The 24,127-nt window shown below is 38.3% G+C and overlaps 1 protein-coding gene and 1 non-coding gene across 7 annotated transcripts in view, besides 1 other annotated feature; both read right to left on the reverse strand.

Annotated features, from left to right (window-relative positions):
• The window catches only part of ADAM17 (ADAM metallopeptidase domain 17), a 67,345-nt gene that overhangs the window by 30,126 nt on the left and 13,092 nt on the right, over positions 1-24,127 (reverse strand). For 2 of the 6 annotated variants that reach the window (NM_003183.6, XM_047445610.1), the window contains 6 exons: positions 18,087-18,217; positions 17,223-17,311; positions 9,175-9,343; positions 7,500-7,633; positions 4,638-4,727; positions 2,592-2,705 (listed from right to left, as the gene is read on the reverse strand). In NM_003183.6, coding sequence (NP_003174.3) covers positions 2,592-2,705; positions 4,638-4,727; positions 7,500-7,633; positions 9,175-9,343; positions 17,223-17,311; positions 18,087-18,217 — 727 coding nt within the window. Of the gene's footprint in view, positions 1-2,591; positions 2,711-4,637; positions 4,728-6,245; positions 6,595-7,499; positions 7,654-9,174; positions 9,344-17,222; positions 17,312-18,086; positions 18,218-24,127 lie in introns of those variants that run through there. The other 4 variants (NM_001382777.1, NM_001382778.1, XM_047445611.1 and 1 more) reach the window with 4 other exon arrangements.
• On the reverse strand, positions 13,631-13,734 carry LOC124906162 (small nucleolar RNA U13). Its single transcript, XR_007088750.1, has one exon. It is a non-coding gene; the product is annotated as a small nucleolar RNA U13 (small nucleolar RNA).
• Positions 23,164-23,343: an enhancer, noted in NCBI's record as "active region_15279". NCBI's record gives its function as "activates an Ori minimal core promoter by ATAC-STARR-seq in GM12878 lymphoblastoid cells {active_cell/tissue: GM12878}" and the evidence as "EXISTENCE:reporter gene assay evidence [ECO:0000049][PMID:35858748]".

Here is a 24,127-nt window from a genome sequence, read left to right on the forward strand (position 1 = left end):
CAGATCCCTCTCAAGTATTTCAAGGATTCAATTGGTTTTATAGAAATTTTAATCTTAAACTTTTTTGAGCTTCATAATATATTGTCATTTATATAAATATACACTTATAGAAAAGCATACATACCCAGTTTTATGTTACTAAAATAAAGATTTTACATCCATTTAAATCAACACTGCAGGTTTGAGAGGATTTTTTTTTTCTTAATTTAAAAGGGCTTCATACATTACTTTAAAAACCTCTACCATAACCGTCCAGCGTCTCCAAGTTTAAAAAAACCTTAATTTGGGGGGGGGGTTTGATTTATTTTGCTTGAGACAGGGTCTCGCTGTGTCACCTAGGCTGGAATGCAGTGACGCAATCACAGCTCACTGCAGCCTCGACCTCCCAGGCTCAAGTGAACCTCCCACCTCAGCCTCCCAAGAAGCTGGTACCAAAGGCGTGCCTCACCATGCCCGGCTAATTTTTGTATTTTTTGTACAACATGTTGCCCAAGCTAGCCTTGAACTCCTGGGCTCAAACAATCCACTGCCTCATCCTCAGCCTCCCAAAGTGCTGGGATTACAGGCATGAACCACCATGCCTAGCCAAAACCCTCAATGTTTAAAATGCTTTAAATGAGAGGCCAGAGAGCCCTATATGAGGAATGAAGTGTGGTTACATGGGGATTCTGATAGTTCCGTGGTAAAAGGATGAGGCTTCTAAGAATATTCTAGGAGGCTTAGGGAAGAAAACTGGAGAGGACCATCTGTCAACATAAGTCATTTTTCTCTTTGGTTCCTCCCCTGCCATGGGCTGTCTGGAGGCTCACAGAAAAGCAGACAGGCGCAGTGGTTCAGCTGTTCTAGGAGTCAGGAGATCTGTGCTCAATTCAACCTCTGCCATCACCAGTTGTATGACTAATCAGACAAGTCATTTAATCTTCCTGCTACTGGCTGAATTGTGCCACCCCACAATTCAAATGTTGAAGTCCTAACCCTCAACAGTACCCCAGAATGTGACTCTATCTGGAAACAGGGCCCTTAAGGAGGTAATTAAGGTACACTGAGGTCATATGGGTGGGCCTTAATCCAATATGGCTGGTGTCCTGATAAGGAGATCAGAATATACACACACACTGAGGGAAGGACCATGTGAGAACACAGGGAGAAGACAGCATCTACACCACAAGTACCTTGGCCTCAGAAGAAATCAACCCTGCTGACCCCTTGATTTTGGACTTCCAGCTTCCAGAACTGTGAAAACCCAAACTTCTGTTGTTTAAGTCCCCCAGCCTATGCTGCTTTGTCATGTCAGCTGGAATAAACAGTAACACTTGCTGAGCCTCCTCACAAGGATGCTGTCTCAACCAACCTCTCAGGGTGCTCAGCAGATCAAATTAGACAAGGTATGAATGAGTACCACACAGGTGCTGCACATTATGCTTCTCCATCTGGATGAATAGTTATAATATCCTTTAATTCTATTGAAGCTTTGAAAACTTGATTTCAGCCTCATGAGACCCTAAACAAGAATCCAGATGAGCCACACCATACCTGGACTAGCCCATGCAAACTATGGGATAAATAAGTGTTGTTCTAAGCTGCTCCACTTGTGATAATTAAAGCAACAACAAGAAACTAATAAACTTGCCAACACATTAAAAGATAAAAACTATCGCTTCATATAAAGTCATTCTACACCAAAGTAATAGCACACACAAACTCAAGACACTGGAATCACATGGCAGCACCCTGTTATACGGCAAGACTCCAAATGACATAAAATGATTAAGTTAGCCATCTTTAGATTAATCGCCAGAATAAAAACACAAAAATTTTAAATTCCTGTAGAGAACTTTCAGATCTCCAAGCTATATTTCTACTCTCCAATACATGTTCATAACCTGTTTGATAATTACTGCCCTAAAAGATAAATTGATAAGCTTCAGAGAGAGCTGAACTAAGTGTGCAGAACTAATGAAACAGTGTGCAAAAACTCTATATATTGGGTATCCATGTTATTTTCTAGAGAAGATCCACTGATTGTCTCATTAGATCCTCAAAGATATTAAGGTTAAGACGCACTGCTTTGGCCGGGCATGGTGGCTCACACTTGTAATCCCAGCACTTTGGGAGGCCGAGGCAGACGGATCATCTGAGGTCGGGAGTTCAAGACCAGCCTGACCAACATGGAGAAACCCTGTCTCTACTAAAAATACAAAAATTAGCCGGCCGTGGTGGTGCATGCCTATAATCCTAGCTACTTGGGAGGCTGAGGCAGGAGAATCTCTTGAACCTGGGAGATGGAGGTTGCGGTGAGCCAAGATCACGCCATTGCCCTCCAGCCAGGGCAACAAGAGTGAAACTCTGTCTCAAAAAAAAAAAAAAAAAAAAAAGGAAGCATTGCTTTATAGCGTTTTTCTTTTTCATAGAGTTTTTGTTATTTGTTGTCTATGCTGCTACATGGGATGGGGTTACTGCTGGATCAGCTGGAGGAGACTGCTTCTGGGTGTCCATCTTTTCTAACATGCTCCTTCATTAAAACACATACAATCCACATATCAGAAATGACAAAGTGGTGTTAGCACCATATCCAGGATTCTAAGACCTACCTCTAGCAACATCTTCACATCCCAAGCATCCTTTTCTTCATTTGGGTAACTTTTTGCCATGTTGTAGTGCTTTTCACCAGGTTTTACCTCTTGTGGAGACTTGAGAATGCGAATCTATACTTAAAGAGATCATATACTTAGAACACTTCCAAAATAAGTCAGAAGGCTCTGAATACTGCATTATTTTATCTGTTCAAAAAAAGAATCGTTCTAGAAAAAAAACATTTTAAAACCAAAATTCATAAATTCTTCAGTACCAATATTCAATGTTTGAAACAAACAGAGAAGCATATGGTATGGAAAACATATGTCAATGAATTATTTATAATATTATAAATGTACTCTTAAATTTTCATATCCTCCATGTTTATTTTGAAAAAATAAGAACTTGGGTTACAGGAGCCTAAAATATTTATTACGACTACAGTCGACAACTCAGGAAAGAATAATAAAATATACATCTCTTTGTGCATCAAAGGAATAAAAGGCTAAGAATAGAGTCTTCTCCTTATACAGGCATTTCAGACAAATTCATATTAAACCTGCAAAGAAGAAAAAAAAAAGTAACAAAGGCTCCCATTAGTAAGTGTGAGATAAAGAAGGAAACCATGCTCAGCTCAGAGTTTCTGTGAGTCTCTCTGCCTGCCTGCCTGCCTGCCTGCCTGCAGAGAAGGCCCATTCTGGTCTCCTCTGCCACTGTGTGGTAAGTTTACTGGGGTGGACTCTGCAGTTTTGATGGTGGCTGGTCAAGGTCAAATCTGGGATAGAACTACTTAGAAGCCCACCATGATACACATCTAAACCACACCCTCCAATCCATCCTTCATCAGATGTAAAGAAGTTAATGTTTTAATCTCCTATATTATTCCTGTTTCTTCGACTGGTTCCAAATGCCTAAAGCAAAAAGAAAATTTACAGGTTCCCTGAAACTCAAACATGATGCAGCTATTTATAATAAAACAAGTGAAGCAGCTTTACATGCATGAACATGAAGTACTCTCCAACATACTGTGAAATGAAAAAGCAAGGTGTAAAAGTGTACTGCATAGCACCGTTGTGTCAAATACAGACATATACATACACTATACCTGCATACGACATCTCTAGAAAGATACATATGAAACTAGTGACATGAATGTCTTTGGGGAAAGGAACTGGTTTGACAATAAACAGGCTGCAGAGACTTACTTTTCACTGGCTTTTGTACTGTGTACATGTTACCTATTCAAATAATAACTTAAAAAGAAAATGCGTAACAGTGAAAGAGAATGAAAAGGGAAAAATAATTCTCTTAGTTTTATACAAGTAATATCAAAGTTTAACATTTATAAACATGGTGAATGATTTTTAAAAATTTTTTCAACCTCTAAATTCTATACTATATAACTTATAAAAATATGGTTTACTACAAAAAGCTTGGAAAAAAATAGAGATAACAATTTATATAATTTACATATCAAAATGTCTCTCTGCCCAAAGCAATACCCTTTGTCAGAAGCCTTTTTAATTAGTCCTAGCAATTTGAAATAACTTTTAATATGAGCTATTATTAAGATGACATTAATATAACATTACTAGACACACTCTGTTAACAGATTACAAGAAATCAGAAGGAGATATCTGAGAGGAAAGAACCTAAAGGTTCTGTATATATAAATACAGCCTTGCAAAGGTACACAGTATTTTTTAGTAAATTTTCTGACTAAGGATTCAATGGTGCATGCCAGAGTTTTAACTAAAGACTTAAGCATAATCGGAGGGGGGAAGAAAACTACAGAGAATATAAAGGCCATGAATTCAAAGAAGGAACAAAGCACAGCAGCATAAAAGGCTTTCTACCTAAAGCGAGACTAAGGACAGAAAACTTCACAATCTAGAACTAATTAACATCAAAAATACTGCACAATTCATCATAAAAAATCATTGGCATCTGAGAAAACTTATTTACAATTATTGTTAAGGACAAGTTTTTAGGTTTTGAATACAAGTGACAAATATTTACATTACAAAACTTAAGTAATATAAGCCATATCTATTGATAAATACCTGCTCTATCTGTATTCCATAGCCTTTAAAACCTGCATTATCCCATGAAGTGTTCCGATAGATGTCATCAACTCTGTCAATTAGCTCTATCTGTGTGTATTTAAAAAAGAAAAAAGACATTATGTAACTCTTTACCTCTCCTGGCAATGCAATATAAAATCTATGGGGAAAGAAAAAATCTCAGTTTAGAGGCCATTGCAAAAGTTTCTACTTTCGCAAAAACTAGCATTGAGATGTTACTGTATCAGAGTATTCCCAACCTTTGGCCCCAAACTTAAAGTGCTGTTACCAGAATAAAACAATGGTATAGTTTAACCTAAATTTCAGGTACTCAATTGCACATGGAACCAAAATGACAAGTAACAGGCTTTTTTAAAACTACCGTTTCAGCCAATAATAAAAATTAAATTTAAAAGTCAATCAGTATACCTGAAATACAGTTGACCCTTGAACAACAGATTTGAACTTCAAGTGTCCACTTACATATGGATTTCCTTGAGCCTCTGTCACCAGAGACAATATGATCAACTCTTCCTCTTCCTCCTCAGCCTACTCAACATGAAGACCATTATGATGATCCACTTCCACTTAGTGAATAGTAAATGTATTTTTCTCTTCCTTATGATTTTCTTTTTTTTTTTTCAAGAGACAAGGTCTTGCTCTGTCACCAGGGGTGCAGTACAGCGGCACGATCATAGCTCACTACAGCCTGAATTTCTGGACTCAAGCAATCCTCTCACCTCAGCCTCCTGAGTAACAGAAGACTACAGGCACACACCACCATGCCGGGCTTTTTTTTTTTTTTATGATTTTCATCATAACATTTTCCTTTCTCTAGCTTACTTGATTGTAAGAACACAGTAATAATACATATTTTAAAAATGTGTTAATCAACTTATTTTATTGGTAAGGCTTCTGGTCAACAGTAGACTATTAGTAGTTAAATTTTTGGAGAATCAAAGTTATACAGTGGCCGGGCATAGTGGCTCATGCCTGTAATCCCAGCACCTTGGGAGGCTGAGGCAGGAGGATTGCTTAAGCTTAGAAGTTTGAGACCATCCTGGGAAATTCTCCATCTCTACTAAAAATCAAAAAACTTAGCCAGGAAGGGTGAACACCTGTTGTCCCAGCTAGAGGAGGCTGAGGTGGGAAGATTGCTTTGGCCCGGGCAATAGAGGCTGCAGCAAGCTATGATTTCACCACTGCACTCCGGCCTGGGCGACAGAGCCTTAAAAAAAAAAAGTCACGTGAGGATTTTCGACTGCAGAGGGAAGAAGGTCAGTGCTTCTAACCACACCCCCGCACTGTTCCTGGGTCAACTGTATTCCCTTCTAAAAAGAATTCCATCTTCACTCTATCTCTTGGTGAGTACCTCGAATGTCTTCCCCAGAAACAAGTAAGGGGCCGTGGCAGACAACTGCCAACCCTATTCCCCCACTCTCACCCCAAAAAGTTCAGCACTGAGGAATGGGTAAGAAGACAGCCAGAAAGAACAAGGTTCATTTCAGCAACCCTCCTTCTTTTGTTCTCTGATTTGGGAAAACTGGAGAAGGAAGGCAGTATAGTTTCCAAGGAAAATGACATGAGAAAGAACAAAATGCTAATTACCTATCTTTTTCTCAAAGAGAATATTCTACTGTTCAAAAACTGGGTTGATGAGGTTTGTTCTAGCAACTGTGAAACAAGTTATGCCTAAGAAGTTGTAAAAAAATACAATTTTTAAGACTAGATCTCTCATTATATTCATATTTATAGTGCAATGAACAAAGAAGTAAAATAAGAGGAGCCCCTTAATATAAAACCCAGATTAAGAGAGAAGCTTTTTAAAGTAAAAATCTCTCTTATTTAGGAACAAGAATCACAGTGACTCTTACTAGCCTCATAATAAATTCACTTGATATGGGGCCGAGTGCTGTGGTTCACGCCTGTAATTCCAGCTACTTGTGATGCTGAGGCAGGAGAATTGCTTGAACCCAGGAGGTGGGGGTTGCAGTGAGCTGAGATTGTGCCACTGCACTCCAGCCTGGGCGACACAGTGAGACTCTGTGTTGAAAAAAAAAAAAAAAAATCCACTTGACATGAAAGGGAAGGGAAAGAAGTTGGGAGGGTATGAATAAAATGGACAGCATGGGAAAAGCAAGGCAATGAGAAAGACATCTTTACTGCACCAGCTTCTTCTTGCTTCATGAATAGCTGCATTCTCCATTATTCCCTCAGTAACAACATTTTGGTCAGTGCCAAGTAATCATGACGAATGAAGTCACACTAGCAAAAAATGTCAATGAAAAATGATTCCCCAGACTTCAAAAATCATAATAGTTCATACTTAAAAATCCAGTATCATCACTTCTTACATCTTTCCTTCACTTCTGTGCCCTAGAACTAGTTATGACCATGAAAGTCCCACCTATTTCAAGTGAAGTCCAATGATTAGGTCTTTAACATGACAAACAAAACTCGCCTTCCTCTCTGAAATATACATATAAGCAAAAGAAAAACATGGGTTCATGCAAATACATATTTTTACATTCACATGTGACACCACAGGTTCACTACCATGATAGCAGTGATGTTTTTAAAGAACTCACTTATATCAAGGAGGAAGGACTACATTATAACCTCTCCCAAACCCTATATGCATAAATTCTAACATGCAGAAAATATTAGTTCAAGGGTAAAATGGGTTGTCACAAATTTGAAACTATAATTTCCATACAGTAACATAAAAACCTCAGAGAATATCCCTCAAATATTTTAGGGAAATAACAGAGTATCTGGAACAGATCTGGTTGCATTAAGTTTCATGGAATGTACCCACCCAAATTTTTTTTTCAATTACTCGATGCAATATCAAATACTTACTAAGTAATTTGTAGTTGTACTCTCTTCCCCTCTGCCCATGTATCTGTAGAAGCGATGATCTGCTACCACCAATAATTTACACGTGTTCTTCATGGGATCTGGGTCAGCTCTTCTTTTCACTCGATGAACAAGCTCTAATATGAATTTGTATGCACTATTAAATCAAAATTCACCAAAACAAGGAGTTTTATGGTAACACTTTAAATCTAACATATTTTTGAAACAAACATTATGTGAGCTTAATATCACTAAAGGATTCTGAACAACAACAAAAAATAATTTGGAGGAAGACAGAAAAGTGAAAAGTAACATAAAGTTAAAACACTGTAGAATTCAAAACCAAGGACAAGTGCCTCTTTAATTTTTCCAATACAGAAACTTTAAAAAGTGCTCAACAGAGTAAGGCCGGGCATGTTGGCTCAGGCCTGTAATCCCAGCACTTTGCGAGGCCAAGGTGGGTGAATCACCTGAGGACGGGAGTTCGAGACCAGCCTGGCCAACATGATGAAACCCCATCTCTATTAAAAATACAAAAATTAGCCAGATATGGTGGCACCCGCCTGTAATCCCAGCTACTTGTAAGGCTGAGGCAGGAGAATCACTTCAACCCAGGGTGCGGAGGTTGCAGTGAGCCAAGATTGTGCCATTGCACTCAAGCCAGGGCGACAAAAGTGAGACTTCATCTCTAAATAAATAAATAAATAAATAGTGCTCAACAGAGTAAAACAGTCACCTAATGCTGGGCTATGAAGCTGTCAGTCATATTCTACAACAAGAAGTTTATGAATTAACCAATGTAACAGTAAAAATGTCAAGATATTCACATTGAAAATTAGTTTAATAGGACAACTTTCTTGTGAAATAAATTAAGAATTTCTTTATTTATATATTAAAATGCTAATATATAATTTTAATAACATAACCGTCTTTGGCCGGGCATGTTGGTGCACGCCTGTAATCCCAACACTTTGGGAGGCTGAGGTGGGCAGATCACTTGAGGCCAGGAGTTTGAGAACAGCCTGACCAACATGGTGAAACCCCATCTCCACTAAAAATACAAAAATTAGCCAGGCCTGGTGGCACATGCCTATAATCCAGCTACTCAGGAGTCTGAGGCAGGAGAATCACCTGAACCTGGAAGTCAAAGGTTGCAGTGAGCCGAGATCGCGCTGCAAACAAAACAAAACAAAACAAAACAAAAAACCTAACCAGAGGTGTTTTGGGCAGTAAAATTCCAAGATGGTTACGTTTTTTAAATGACCCTAAATGGATTGTCCCAAGATGGATATAACCTTCTTGTATTCTAAGCAGTATATATATAGGTCCCTCCTACTACCAATTAATTTCTTATAAACTCTAAAGATTGTCTTTCCACCATATTATTTTATCATTTCTAAATATCTGCAGGAATATTTTCCCTCAGATCACTCCATTTCCCTTTTCCCTAATCTTTTTTAAAGTCTAATCTCTGTTGTTCCCATTATTTTCCAGAGTTTTCAACTCTTACATTATAAACAAAAGAAGATGAAAATTTCTGGAACAAACCTCTTATTTTCATGCCAAATACTATAGTTACTTGACAATCATGTTATTTTTTAACAAATAACAACCACCCCTACTGAAGTCAATTGTAGTATGTTTGTTTCTTATTTGAAATACACTCTTTAAGTCTTACCTTCAGGTGGTTCTCTGTCTACTAACCCTTTTGGGAGCAACTCTTCATTATCCACTTTTAAATAACCACACACTTTTGGAGACTGCAAACGTGAAACATTCTTGATATCTTCAGATTTATAAACTAACATTCTTTTGTCTTTGGTATCATTAACAAATCTCCAAAGTGGCTAAAACAGAAAATATATACGACTGAGATGGAAAACAATAATAATTCCTAAACACTAAATTCTTCTAACATTCTTTGCTTGTTCTTAGATAACATTCATTTCTAGGTTAAGTAAACTGATTAGTCATGTTATTAAAATAAATAATCTCAATTTTTAATCATATGGAGTTTCTATGCAGGAAAGTAAATACATAGATTATAAACTCTGATTATTTTATCTGTATATAAATAAAGCCTTACATACTTTGCACGTTGTGAAATCTTTCAGAGGATGCAGAAGAGAAAAATGCATATCATTTTCCACTCATTCATTCAAAAATATTATGTAATATCTACTGTACACTGGCACTGTTATAGGTGATGGTGCTATAGTAATGAAAATTGGACAAGGTTTCTGTTCATGCAGCATTTTCATTTTAGTTTCCTTAATACTTAGGTGTTTGACACCTTTTTGCCACGTTAGGTTTTATCCACACAAAAGAACAAACATATTTATATGAAAGAAAACTCAGAACTTGTAACAATAGGTCTGAACCTTATTACTTGTTTCAGCGAACGCAGTTTTTAAACAAAATCTCCACTTACAATGTTACAAGGCCAGAGTAAATCACAATTAACATACTCCAAAGGTTACCCAAGTCAAAAGGCTGTTTGTTTGTTTTGTTTCAAAGCAAAGTTATTCTCTGTAAGAACACTGGTCTCATCAGAACCAGGCAGTTTGTGGGGGGACACACAAAAAATATATTTATCTCCATCAGGGAAATGCAAATCAAAACCCCAATGGGGAAAAAAACCCCCACAATGAGACACCCCTGTATACCCACTAGGATGACTATGATCAAAGACAAATACTGGTGAGGATGTAGAGAAATCCAGAACCCTCACATATGCTGATGAGAATGTAAAATGGTAAAACCACTTTAGAAAACAGTCTGGCAGGTCCTCAAAGGTTAAAAGTAGAAGTACCATATGACCCAGCAATTCTGCTCCTAGTATATAACCAAGAGAAATGAAAACACAAGCAGTAATGTAAATATAGCTAAAAAGTGGAAACAACCCAAATGTCCATCAACAACTAATCAATGAATAAACAAAATGCAGTTTATCCATACAATGGAATACTATTCAGCAATAAAAATAAATAAGATACAGATACATGCTACAACACAGATGAACCTTGGAAACATTATTCTAAGTGAAAGAAGCCACACACAGGCTGGGCGTGGTGGCTCATGTCTTTAATCCCAGCACTTCGGGAGGCCGAGGCAGGTGGATCACTTGAGGTCAGGAGTTTGAGAACAGCCTGGCCAACATAGTGAAACCCCGACTCTAGTAAAAAATACAAAAATTAGTCAGGCATGGTGGCAGGAGCCTGTAATCCCAGCTACCTGGGAGGCTGAGGCAAGAGAATCAGTTGAACCCAGGAGGCAAAAGTTGCAGTGAGCTGAGATCATGCCACTGCACTCCAGCCTGGGTGACAGAGCAAGACTCCATCTCAAAAAAATAAAAAAATTGAAGCCACACACAAAAGACATGTTATGTAATTCCATTTATATGAGATGACCCAAACAGACAAATCTAAATAGACAGTAGATCCCTGGTTGCCTAGAGCTGGGGGAGTTAGGGAGGAAGGGGGAAGTATGGCTAAAGGATACAGCGTTTCTTTTTCAGGTGATAAAAATGTTCTAAAATTGAATGAGGTGGTGTTTGCACAACTCCATCAATATACGAAAACTGCCGGGCGCGATGGCTCACGCCTGTAATCTCAGCACTTTGGGGAGGCCATGGTGGGCAGATAACTTGAGTCCAGGAGTTCGAGAACAGCCTGACCAACACGGTGAAACCCCATCTCTACTGAAACACAAAAATCAGCCGGGCATGGTGGTGGGCGCCTGTAATCCCAGCTACTCAACAGGCTGAGGCCACAGAATCACTTGAACCCAGGAGGCAGAGGTTGCAGTGATCGTGCCACTGCACTCCAGCCTGGGTGACAGAGTGAGACTCCATCTCAAAAATACACACACACACACACACACACAAAACTACAAAATTGTATACATTAAGTGGGTGAATAATATAGTATGTGAATTTTATCTCAATAAAACTGTTAAATATTATATGCATATACATCTTTGGTAATCCATGTATGAGGCAGATGTAAGAAACAAGGGTTACAGAATTTCAGGGTTGGCAGAGATCTCAAAAGTTAACTAACCCAACTTCCGGGCTACAGGAATCTTCCATATTTAGTAAAGTTCATTTAGCCTATGAATAGGAGTGAAATTTTTTTTCTTTTGGGTCAAACATTTCTAAGTTCACATTGATTGTTTCCTAGTATAGTCAGTCCAGCACAGAAAAAGACAGCTGGCTTTGGGATCAGATATATCTGAGTTCAAACCTCAACCATACCTCACTATGTGCCTTGGACAAGTACCCTGAGCATAACCTCCCTCATTAGGTAAAGTAGTGATAATACCTAACTTGAAGATTATGAAGATTATGTAGGTAATAAATCTAGTTTTATATTAACATTTCAAAAGAAAAGTGGTTGTTATTAATAAAAGCTAAGGCTATTACCATTATTACTAGTAAGTTGCTGGAAAAAATAATTTGATGAGTAATTGACTAAAAGGCAGAAAACTGGATTGGATCCTGGACTGGAAAACCAAAAAAAATCTACAAAGGAGATTTTGAGGATGACTAGAGATTTTGACTATGGCATGATTATTAGATAATATTGTAGAATTCTTGTCATTTTCTCAGGTATGTTACTTTTATTACAGCTATAGAAAAGAGTGCCTTTATTCCTAAGGATGCATACAGAAGTATTTAGGGGTGAAGGGTCATGATGTTTGCAAATGATTTTCATATGATTCACGAAAAAAAGAGAGAAAGCTAACAGGACATTATGTTAGAAATTGTTTAAGGGCTACAGGGTATTTTTTAAAAAAATCTTTCTGTAACTACAGGGTACTTTTTAATCTTTCTGTAGATTTGCACATTTTCTTTTTTATTTTTTTCTGAGACAGAGTTTCACCCTGTCACCCACATTGGAGTACAGTGGAGCGATCTCAGCTCACTGCAACCTCTGTCTCCCAGGTTCAAGCGATTCTCCCACCTAGGCCTCCCGAGCAGTTGGGATTACGGGCGCAAGCCACCAAGCCTGGCTAATTTTTGTATTTTTAGTAGAGACGAGGTTTCACCATGTTGGCCAGGCTGGCCTCGAACTCCTGGCCTGAAGTGATCCACCCACCTCAGCTTCCCAAAGTGCTGGGATGACAGGCATGAGCCACTGCACCAGCTGAACATTTTTAAAACTAGAAGCTGGGGGAGGCCAAGCATGGTGGCTCACGTCTGTCATCCCAGCACTTTGGGAGGCCGAGGTGGGCAGATCACAAGGTCAGAAGTTCAAGACCAGCCTCACTAACATGGTGAAACCCCGTCTCTACTAAAAATACAAAAATTAGGCCGGATGCAGTGGCTCATGCCTGTAATCCCAGCACCTTGGGAGGCCGACGCGGGTGGATCACCTGAGACCAGGAGTTCAAGACCAGCCTGGCCAACGTGGCAAAACCCTGTCTCTACCAAAAATATAAAAACTAGCCGGGCACAGTGGCGTGTGCCTGTAATCCCAGCTACTTGGGAGGCTGAGGCAGGAGAAATGCTTGAACCTGGGAGGCGGAGACTGCAGTGAGCCGAGATTGCGCCACTGCACTCCAGCCTGGGCGACAGAGCAAGACTCCATCTCAAATAAATAAATAAAAGTTGGGGGAAATATTATCTCACTATGCAAGTTTAACCCAGGATTATTTATATAAATAGTAAGCTATGGTAAAGTCAGTGACGGTTTAAAATATTTAACGGCTGCGCACAGTGGCTCACACCTGTAATCCCAGCACTTTGGGAGGCCAAGCAAGAGGATTGCTTACAGTCAGACATTTGAGATCAGCCTGGGCAACACAGTGAGACCTCATCAAAAATCTGATACACTCTACAAAAATTTAACAAATTAGTTGGGCATGGTGGCATGCACCTGTAGTCCCAGCTACTCAGGAGGCAGAAAAGAGGGATTGTTTGAGCCCAGGAGGTCAAGGCTGCAGTGAGCTATGATGGCACCACTGCACTTCAGCCTGAGTGACCAAGTAAGACTGTCATAAACAAAATATTTAATGATGATGTGTTAAAAATAAGATATATATTTTTTCCTGCTCACTTATATTCCTAAGATATTAGTGCAGATAGACAATGTTTTTGCATCAAGGTAAGTGTAAAGAATTATTTTTTTTCATGTCAGACTGGTAATGTGCTAACATTGTAACAAGGTTCTAGGGTGGTACATCTCATATGTGTGTGTGAACAGCCAATCACCACACTTATGAACTATAAAAGTATCAAAAGAATTATAAAGAGTATGAAAATCACCCCTGTAAGTAGTAAATCATTTTTTCAATAAACATTATTAATTTCATGCAAAAGTCCCTCAAGGTATCTGATGAGTATACTTGTAAGTAAACATCTTTGTGTGTGTGTATGTGTGAGATAGGGTCTCGCTCTGTCACCCAGGCTGGAGTGCAGCAGTACAATCTCAGCTCACTGCAGTCTCCGCCTTCCGAATTCAACTGATCCTACTGCTTCAGCATTCTAAGTAGCTGAGACCACAGGCATGTGCCACCATGCCCAGCTAATTTTTTTTTTTTTTTTTTTTTTGTGGAGGAGTAGAGACAAGGTCTCCCTATATTGCCTGGGCTGGTCTCAAATTCCTGGGCTCAAGCAGTCCACCCGCCTCAGCCTCCCAAAGTGCTGATTACAAGTGTGAGCCACTGTGCCTGGCTAAGTAAATATCTTACAATGAAATATTAGTTATACTCATTTTTGTACTTAGTGAAACAAAGGTATGGATGGAAACAGAATTCCTATTTTTCCAAAAGGAAGTATTTGAAAAAAATGAGTAATCTAGCTGGGCGTGGTGGCTCATGCCTATAATCTCAGCACTTTGGGAGGCCAAGATGGGCAGATCACGAGGTCAGGAGTTCAAGACCAGCCTGGCCAACACAGTGAAACCCCATCTCTACTAAAACTACAAAAATTAACGGGGCATGGTGGCACACGCCTGTAATTCCAGCTACTCAAGGGACTGAGGCAGGAGAATCGCTTTAACCTGGGAGGCAGAGGATGTGGTGAGCCGAGATCGCGCCATTGCACTCCAGTCTGGGTGACAGGGCGAGATGCCATCTTAAAAAAAAAAAAATGTAATCTGAGCAAATTTAACTTGGATCCTAAAGACACATATTTTGGCTTAAGAATTAATAAGCTGGCCAGGCACAGTGGCTCACGCCTTTAATCTCAGCACTTTCAGAGGCCGAGGCTGGCAGATCATGAGGTCAGGAGATCGAGACCATCCTGGCCAACATTGTGAAACCCTGTCTCTACCAAAAATACAAAAATTAGCTGGGTGTGGTGGTGCGCACCTGTAATCCCAGCTACTCGGGAGGCTGAGGCAGGAGAATGGCTTGAACCCAGGAGGCAGAGTCTGCAGTGAGCTGAGATCACGCCACTGCACTCCAGCCTGGTAACAGAGTGAGACTCAGTCTCAAAAAAACAAAAAAGAATAAATTATTCTAAGGAAATAAGCAGACATATGCACTGCAGCAAAAACAATGCTGTGCATTTACCACACTATTTTCTCTTTCTGAGCTCAAATTACGACTATCTTTTCCATTCTCCTTTGTAGCAGGTCAGAGATAAAGTGTTCTAGAATGTATTGAACGGAAGGCCATTTCCAAGCCTGGCCCTTAATATCCTGTATAATTCTCTAGCTCTGTTTTCTTTCTGTGAGAACTACAGAGGACATGTGTCCAAAAGTCAAAGCCACAAAGTAGAGGAGAACCACCTAACCCACATCAAGCCACAGGAGAGTAAGAAAAAACTTTGCTTGTGTTAAGCTACTCAGCTATGGGAGTTTATCTGAAGCCCTCGCACAGCCTAGACAGAGCTTCCTACAGTTTCTTCATTTAACTTCCCAGACTATTACCTATCATCCAGACTATTCCAACTAAACACATGCACCAAAAGGTGTGCCCAAGGCTGTTCACTACAATACCTTTTATTTCAAAAGTTAGAAACAAAACAGTTGAGGCCAGGCACAGTGGCTCACGCCTATAATCCCAGCACTTTTCAGAGGCCGAGGCTGGCAGATCATGAGGTCAGGAGATCGAGACCATCCTGGCCAACATGGTGAAACCCCGTCTCTACTAAAAATACAAAAATTAGCCAGGTGAGGTAGCATGTGCCTGTAGTCTGAGCTACTCAAGGGTCTAAGGCGGGAGAACCGCCTGAACCCAGGAGCCAGAGGTTGCAGTGAGCCGAGACCACGCCAGTGCACTCTAGCCTGAGTGACAGAGTGATACTCCATCTCAAAAAAAAGAAAAAAAATTAGCCGGACATCATGGCGCACACCTGCAGTCCCAGCTACTTGGGAGGCTAAGGCAGGAGAATCGCCTGAACCGGGGAGGCAGAGGTTATAGTGAGCCAAGATCACGCCATTGCACTCTAGCCTGGGTGACAGAGCAAGACTCCGTCTCAAAAAACAAACAAACAAACAAACAAAACCCTAATTTAGATCTATATTAACACGAAAAGGTTCATAATCATATTGTTAAACGAAAAATGTGTGAAGACAAACTGTACATATTGTATGGTCCTAGTTTTGCAGGAAAAAATAGTGGGTATAACTATATTTATTTGTGTATTTACACATAGAAAAAAAAATTTGGAAGGATGTCTGTCAAAATGTCAATAGTAGTTATCTGTCCAAGTACAGATAATCTATTTTCCGAATTTTGCAATGAGCATATATTTTAAAATAAAGGTATTCTTAAAAAATAAATTGATTTGAAAGAACAGGCAAATTTAAGACATTCCAGTGATGCTTTGCCTATTCTAGAATGAATGCATTTATAATATTAGTTCCTTTACTTTCTACTAAATTTCTGACTCTTTCTGGTAGGCCAGACTCCTCAAAACATTGACATTAAATAGCTTAAACATTAACAAACTATAACATACTGCAAGGCCATAGGTTTCTTTTTCACAATAATGGACAGTCAAAGGACTAACAGTCATGTAGATTGGATATAATTAAAACATATAGTATATATAGCTCCAGCAGACTGTTTTACCCCTATTAAGCACTCAAATACACCTGAACATTTCATTTTGACCAATCTTACTCAGTTTTCCCACAGGTGATCTATTTTAGTGATATCACCACCACCACCCAGAGTCTTCTCATTTTTCAGGAAACACAGAATCAACTTCAATTCACAATTATGAGGAAACGTTTTGTTTTGTAGACTAATATCTGACAGATAGATATGTGTCTTAACCAATGCAGCCACTGTGGTCTTGATTTCTATTGCTACTCTTTCAATGGAAGAGTGACCACAGCCTGACTTTCCTAGCTTCCTCTTTAACTTCTCAGACTATGAACTACCACCTTTCATTGATCTAGCATTTCCAGTGTGTCTAGCAGAAAAACAGAGAAATTGAAAAATAATACTTCACTTTTCATTTCTGAGGATGTTTACATTTATTATTTGAGAAAGAATTAAAAAATGAGTCAGGAGGGAAAGAAAGTTTTCTCTTCCTATTATCCATCCCACATGTAACTCTCTCAATTATGGTACTTAGAAATACAGGGTGTATCATAACACAGCTTCTTAGAGATTATCCTTTTTTAAAAAGTCTACTTTCCTAGTAAAAAACTTCAAATACGAAGAGGAAAGAAATAAGTATAATTACTTTTCACCTTTGCAGAACTGAGCAGCTTTTTGAAAATCAGAGATATAAGCTACTGAAAAAAAATTCACATATAAATTTACCTCTATGTTATATTCGGCCCCATCTGTGTTGATTCTGATTATAACATCATCATCTCTTATGTGGGCTAGAACCCTAGAGTCAGGCTCACCTTAAGAGAAAAAAAAAATTATTATTTAAAAATACTTACATCAAATAAGAAACTATGCATTACTCTCAATAAAAATTAAATCCTTCAGGGTGGAATTTGCCTAGTACTGTGAGAGCTCTGCAAAACAAGAAACAAAGGCTCCAGAAAGAAGCTAGATAATCTCAACTCCTAAGGGGTAGCCTCAAGTTTAGTCACTTGAAACCTATCCCTTTCCCAAAACAAACAAAACTGCTAAGATTTTCTTCTGGAATAATTTTATCTACTTCTAGGTAAAGGAAGAACTAAGAGAGACAGAAAGCATGATTTAGAATGTACAGGCCTAGGAACTATACTATTTGTGGATTTCAATGACATTTTTTTTTCTCATTGCAGAAAAAGGTCAAAAAGTAAACTGCAATTGCTTGTTTGATAAATTTTCTCAAATACATACGTAATAGGATCACCAAGTATTTTATCTCCAAGCTTCCCTGTTTAAAATATCATAAAGAAAGCTTACAGTCACTGAGGAAAAGAAAGGTTAAATTCCTATCACTTAAGAAGAATTTAATTTTAATCATTAAACCAGCCAGCTAGTATGACATTTAGATAATACTCATTTCCTTCTATTAGAATGTTCCTGCCTCTAAACTTATATACCTCAAAGAAAAGTCAAAGAATAGCACTTCTATGACACCCCGTCCCCACTATCCTGCACCAGAAAAGAATATGCAATCAAGTTAGATTTGGAGACCTAATACACCAGACACAGGGGCAAACCAACAAGCTCCATACTAACCAACCACGTGTCCAGTGAAGAAGTCCTGCCATTTTACAGTGTACTCGCTTTCGTTTTTACCATCCACCACCACGACCTTGAAATTTTGTGAAAAACGTTCAGTACTTGATGTCAGGTATAATTTAAAATGCCTGAAGAAAAATGCATTCATATTTTACTCTAAGCACACAAATTTTAAGTCTCATTTTCACATAATTAAACTTTCTTAAAAAGCCAGAAGCATTGACATTAATAAAACACTATGCAAGTTACAACTAAAGTCTTATTAGGTACTTAGAGCAATATATCTCCTGTAACGACAAATGAACTAATTTATTTAGCTATAAAAACAGCAGATCACAATAAACTCACACTAGGGTAAAGATATTCAAAGAACTTATACATTCATCTCTCCTGGAAAACACTGAAGAATAAGGAAACACACATGACTGCGTAGTTAAGTTGGAATCCTGATTATCTAAAAAAATTATTATCAAAAACTAATCCTATTATATACCATTTATTGAACACCTACTTGGTGTTAGGTACTATGCATCTATTATCCCCACTTCACACAAGTACAAATTGAGGCTTGGAAGCTAATCAACCTACTCAAAGTTACACAGCTAGTAAATGGTGAAACTGGGAAATAAACCTGGTTTATTTCAAAACCCTGTACTATGCTGTCTCTATCAAGCTGGGTGGACTATGAGAAAATTCTTATTGCTGTGCAAAATTAATAAATGCTGCTTTCTATATTTAAAAGTACTCATGCGGCCGTGCGTAGTGGCTCACGCCTGTAATCCCAGCACTTTGGGAGGTTGAGCTGGGCGGATCACGAGGTCAGGAGATCGAGACCATCCTGGCTAACACAGCGAAACCCCATCTCTACTAAAAATACAAAAATTAGCCAGGCATGGTGGCGGGTGCCTATAGTCCCAGCTACTTGGGAGGCTGAGGCAGGAGAATGGAGTGAACCCGGGAGGCGGAGCCTGCTGTGAGCCGAGATCGCCAGCCTGGTTGACAGCGCGAGACTCCCGCTCAAAATAAGAAAAAAAAAAAGTACTCGTGCTTTTTTTCCTCCTCAAAACAACATATCTTGCAAAAAAGTAACCCACAATTACAGTTAGGAAAATAAATACAAGGTATCTAAGACAGACATTAGAATATAGACTCCATTGGCACCAGAAGACAGGAAAAGAGGGGAGGGGAGGGGAGGGGAGGGGAGGAGAGGGGGAGGAGAGGGGAGGAGAGGGGGAGGAGAGGGGAAGGGGAGGGGGAAGAGAGGGGAAGGGAAGGGGAAGGGAGGGGAAGGGAGGGGAGGGGAAGGGAGGGGAGGAGAGGGGAGGGGGTATACACTTCAGTTCTTTAGTGGGCTTACTATTCTTTTTGTTGAGTTTCAGTCCAGTTCTTTAATTGGCTTACTATTCTTTTTGTTTTCTATGACTTTCCATCCTTACATGAAAACTAGGAGTGGTGAGCAAGACTTTCTCAAGTATTATTTATAGTCTTTCAATGTGTCCATGAACACCAAAGACAAAGAAAGGTATATTATTCATCTCACCCACAGAAACAAATTTTGTCAGCTGTTGTACTGAAAATATATTACTTCCCCATGGGATTGCAAAAGTCTTTAAACTACCGGAAAGAAATCTAGACTGGGACTATCTCCATGGCAACAAATATTTTTAACTTTTTGAGCATAACAAGGTAATTTTAGTTTGCTTGTGGTTTTTTAATGGTCAAAGGGAAAAGACAATAGAACATTATTTCGTAAATCCTTGGAACATTTTCTTCTGCTATCCTAAAACATATCTTCCCACACATTCTCAGTTATGATTTTTCCCTCCAGTTATGCTGAGAACTTTCAAAAGCATACTTATTATAAATGTCTTATTATTTTGTTTTAAAGCTAAGAGTTGCAACATTACTTAATGTTCTTTTCAGAAAGAAATCAGTGGAATTGCATTTTTCATTTGCTACATTAAGAATCTTTTCTAAAGATAAAGACCAAGCGATTATAAAATTCATGTTTTTTGATTTTCCAATATTAGCTTTTGAGTTATAAAACGTCCAACAGAATGTCAAAATTTCTTTTACTTTATCCTCCCAAAATTATGTGAAGTCATTTTCTTACAGATTTCTTTAACGTTTTATCTTTCTGACTTTTGACTTAAGAATTTACAGTAACTAAAGACCAGCTAACCAGTTTGAATTAACATTATTACCCTAACCATTTTTAATGGTCCATTTAGTCAGGTATATCACTTTCATTTCTTTATCAGTTCTAGACCTTCTCAAGTAATCTGATATATTTCACTTTTAGGAGAAACATTTAACTTTTTCCAAAAAAATTCAGGCAACATCAAAAAAGTATCAAAACAGTATATACTCCGCAGCTTTTTCGTTATTTAAAAATAAGATAATTTCTTGATTTTTTTTTTTTTTTGAGACGGAGTCTCACTCTGTCGCCCAGGCTGGAGTGCAGTGGCGCAATCTCGGCTAACTGCAAGCTCCACCTCCTGGGTTCACGCCATTCCCCTGCCTCAGCCTCCCAAATAGCTGGGACTACAGGCGCCTGCTACCACGCCTGGCTAATTTTTTGTATTTTTAGTAGAGACGGGGTTTCACCGTGTTAGCCAGGATGGTCTCGATCTCCTGACCTCATGACCTCATGATCCATCCAGCTCGGCCTCCCAAAGTGCTGGGATTACATGTGTGAGTCACCACGCCTAGCTGATAATTTCTTGATTTATAACAAAAAGGAAATGAAACTTGTAAGGCAAATTTTAAACAAGTTTCTTTTTTTCTTAAGTTACTTCAACTCTTCATACAACCTCTCAGTGTTTCTATGCTTTTTCAACCTCTAATAGTTACATCCAAATTTAATGCAATGATCTTGGTTTAAATTACTTTGCCTTCCACTGCTATCGAAAAACGGAATCTTCTCATTTACCATCAAGTAATGAGGGGTTTCATAGAGTTAATTCAGCCCTGATACAAACTGATTACTTCAGCTATCTTTGTTTTTGTTCTTGTTTTAAACTTTAATGACGCAATATGATAGAAAAGAAAGGGTATGGGCTTTGGAGTCTGACAAACTTGGCTTAAGTCCTACTTTCATTTACTCACTGTCCGACCTTGGCCTCAATCTTTGAATCCTAAGTATTTATCTACAAATGGAAATAATATCACCTAATAACTGAACGGTTTTGGGGATTAAAGGAAATAACCTATTTTAAAACACCTGGTATAAAATTCCATAGACTGTTAGATAAATTTCCCATTAAATATTTAGTATGGAAACTTTGTAAAATAAATTACATACTTCCCTGCTTTCTTACACAGAGAAAAGATAACAAGTGGCTACGATTTAATATTTTCTTAGGGAATCAATGTCATCTACGAAACTTGAAAGAGAAATATGTAAGGCTATGGAAGTTTTTGCCTCTAGAATACGGATTCTACAGGCCACTTCAAATCCAAAGAAACCCAAAAAGCTAAACTTTGAGTTCTTTTCATTTTATAGTTTCCTCACTCTTCCTTCGCTCCTACTTATTTCTTGCTACTATATCCACTTCTTCACCAAACTCTCCACCAGTATAGCAGAAATAACACAAGTTTTGGAGTCCAACCTTTGTTCAAATCTTGTATCTGTCATTTACTAGCTGAGTAATCTTGGGCAAGTTACTAAGCTGTCTAAGCCTTAATTTTTTTTTTTTTGTTCCTTCAAAAAAGGAATCACTTTTAGAGATAACTTATGTAAAATGCCAGTAAATTACAGAAAATAAGTACCTGATTAACTGTAGCTATTAATATTACCAATCTGCTCAAATTTGGTGTAAGTTGAAAGCTAATAACCAATACTATAATATTCTGACATAAAATCGAATAAAAAGAAGTCATTAAAAAATAACCTAAGGATAATTGCAATAGCTAGGAAAAATTAATTTGCATTAAAAATTTGCCTAAAATAACCACATGACAATGAACCAATCTCCTTAATATACTAAGCACTGCTACAATTCAGTAGTTAGAAAGACAAATTCAATAGAAAAATAGTCAAAAGAGATAAAAAGGCAGTTTACAGAAATATAAAACAAATTACTTACAAATATATAAAAAGATGCTCAATGTCACACAAAATGAAAATCAAAACAACTATAAAATGCCATGCCCTTTAGAGGGGTGACAGTTAAAGGCTGATAAACCTACTATTGGCAAAGATAACAGGAAACAGGTAAACTCATATATTGCTGCTGGAAGAATAAATTTGTCAAATCTCTTTGGGAGGAAAGAGCAATATCAATAAACATAGTATACATATCCTTGACCCAGTAATTCTCCTTCCAGGAATATATCCTATAAAAACACCTCATCAAGGTACACATTTACAAAGATACTCACTAGAGCACTGTTTGTTGTATTAAAAAAATCACTTTGGTTAAACAATATCCATCTGTAGTGTATTAGTCAGTATGTTGTTACAATTCTATGCAATAGGAATATTTATGCAGCTGTTTAAAATGAGGTAAATATGCTATCTATATCACCTATACACACACAGAGACCTATAGGCAAAAAACATGCATTAAAATATTTTGGGTCGGGCACGGTGGCTCACACCTGTAATCCCATCACATTGGGAGCCTGAGGCAGGTGGATCACCTGAGGTCAGGAGTTCAAGACCATCCTGGCCAACATGGTGAAACCTCATCTCTACTAAAAATACAAAAATTAGCTGAGCATGGCAGTGGGCTCCTGTAATCCCAGCTACTCGGGAAGCTGAGGCAGGAGAACTGCTTGAACCCGAGAGGTGGAGGCTTCAGTGAGCTAAGATCGTGCCATTGCACTCCAGTCTGGGCGACAAGAGCAAAAACTCTGTCTCAAAAAACAAAAAACAAAACAAAACAAAAAATTGGAAGTTTACAAAGGAAACCTCTCTGGGTCTGAGAAGTCTAACTGAGTTAGAAGTAAAAACTTTGCATATCCTCCATGGCTTGTTTTTTAAACCAGACGCACATATTCCTTTTATTTTTTAACATAGTTGAGAAGGCTTGTCCTATATAAAGAATAAAGATGGCCAGATGCAGTGGCCCCTGTCTGTAATCCCAGCACTTTGGGAGGCCGAGATCGTGGATCACTTGAGGTGAGGAGTTCAAGACCAGCCTGGCCAACATGGTGAAACTCTGTCTCTACTAAAAATAACAAAAATCACCCAGGCGTGGTGCTGTGCACCTGTAGTCCCAGCTACTTGAGAGGCTGAGGCACAAGAATCGCTTGAACCCAGGAGGCAGAGGTTGCAGTGAGCCAAGATCACACAACTGCACTCCAGCCTGGACGACAGAGCAAGACTCTCAAAAAAATAAATAAATAAAGAATAATTCAGTCAATTCTCCATGTGTCTGTTTTTTGATACTGAATAAAGCTTCCTAAAGACTTTAAAAAGAGGCCTGCAATTATTTAACATTTCAATGTGCAAAACAATACGTGGTATTAAAATTACTACTGAAATAGAACATATCCATCAATTTATGCTAAGAAGTAAGAGGAACTCAATGTAGAAAGAATATTAAATTTGGGCCAGGCATGGTGGCTCACACCTGTAATCCCAGCACTTTGGGAGGCCAAGATGGAAAGACCACCTGAGCCCAGAAGTTCAAGATCAGCCTTGGCAACATGGCAAGACCCTGTTTTTAAAAATAAATAAATATGAAGCAGGTTAAAGAATCCTGGAAACTAAGTAACTAGTTAGCTAAATAAATAAATAGAACAGTAAAATCTAGACCCAGCTCACCACCAGGCTGTGGGGTCCTGAACAAAATCTTTATCTCTTCATATATAAAGATAATATTTAGCACATGATTGATGGTTATAAAGTAGCACCAAAAACAAAAGGTTTTATAAGCATTCAATTAATTTAAATTATGTTAGAATTTTCTAAACATCGTTACCATCATTAACACCTCTGCAATATCTATTTACTTTTTTAAAAATACTCATCAGTATGAACTTTATTTATTTTATTTATTTATTTTTTGAGACAGAGTCTCACTCTGTTG

This window comes from Homo sapiens, chromosome 2 (assembly GCF_000001405.40).
Source record: "Homo sapiens chromosome 2, GRCh38.p14 Primary Assembly".
NCBI classification, from domain to species: Eukaryota; Metazoa; Chordata; class Mammalia; order Primates; family Hominidae; genus Homo; species Homo sapiens.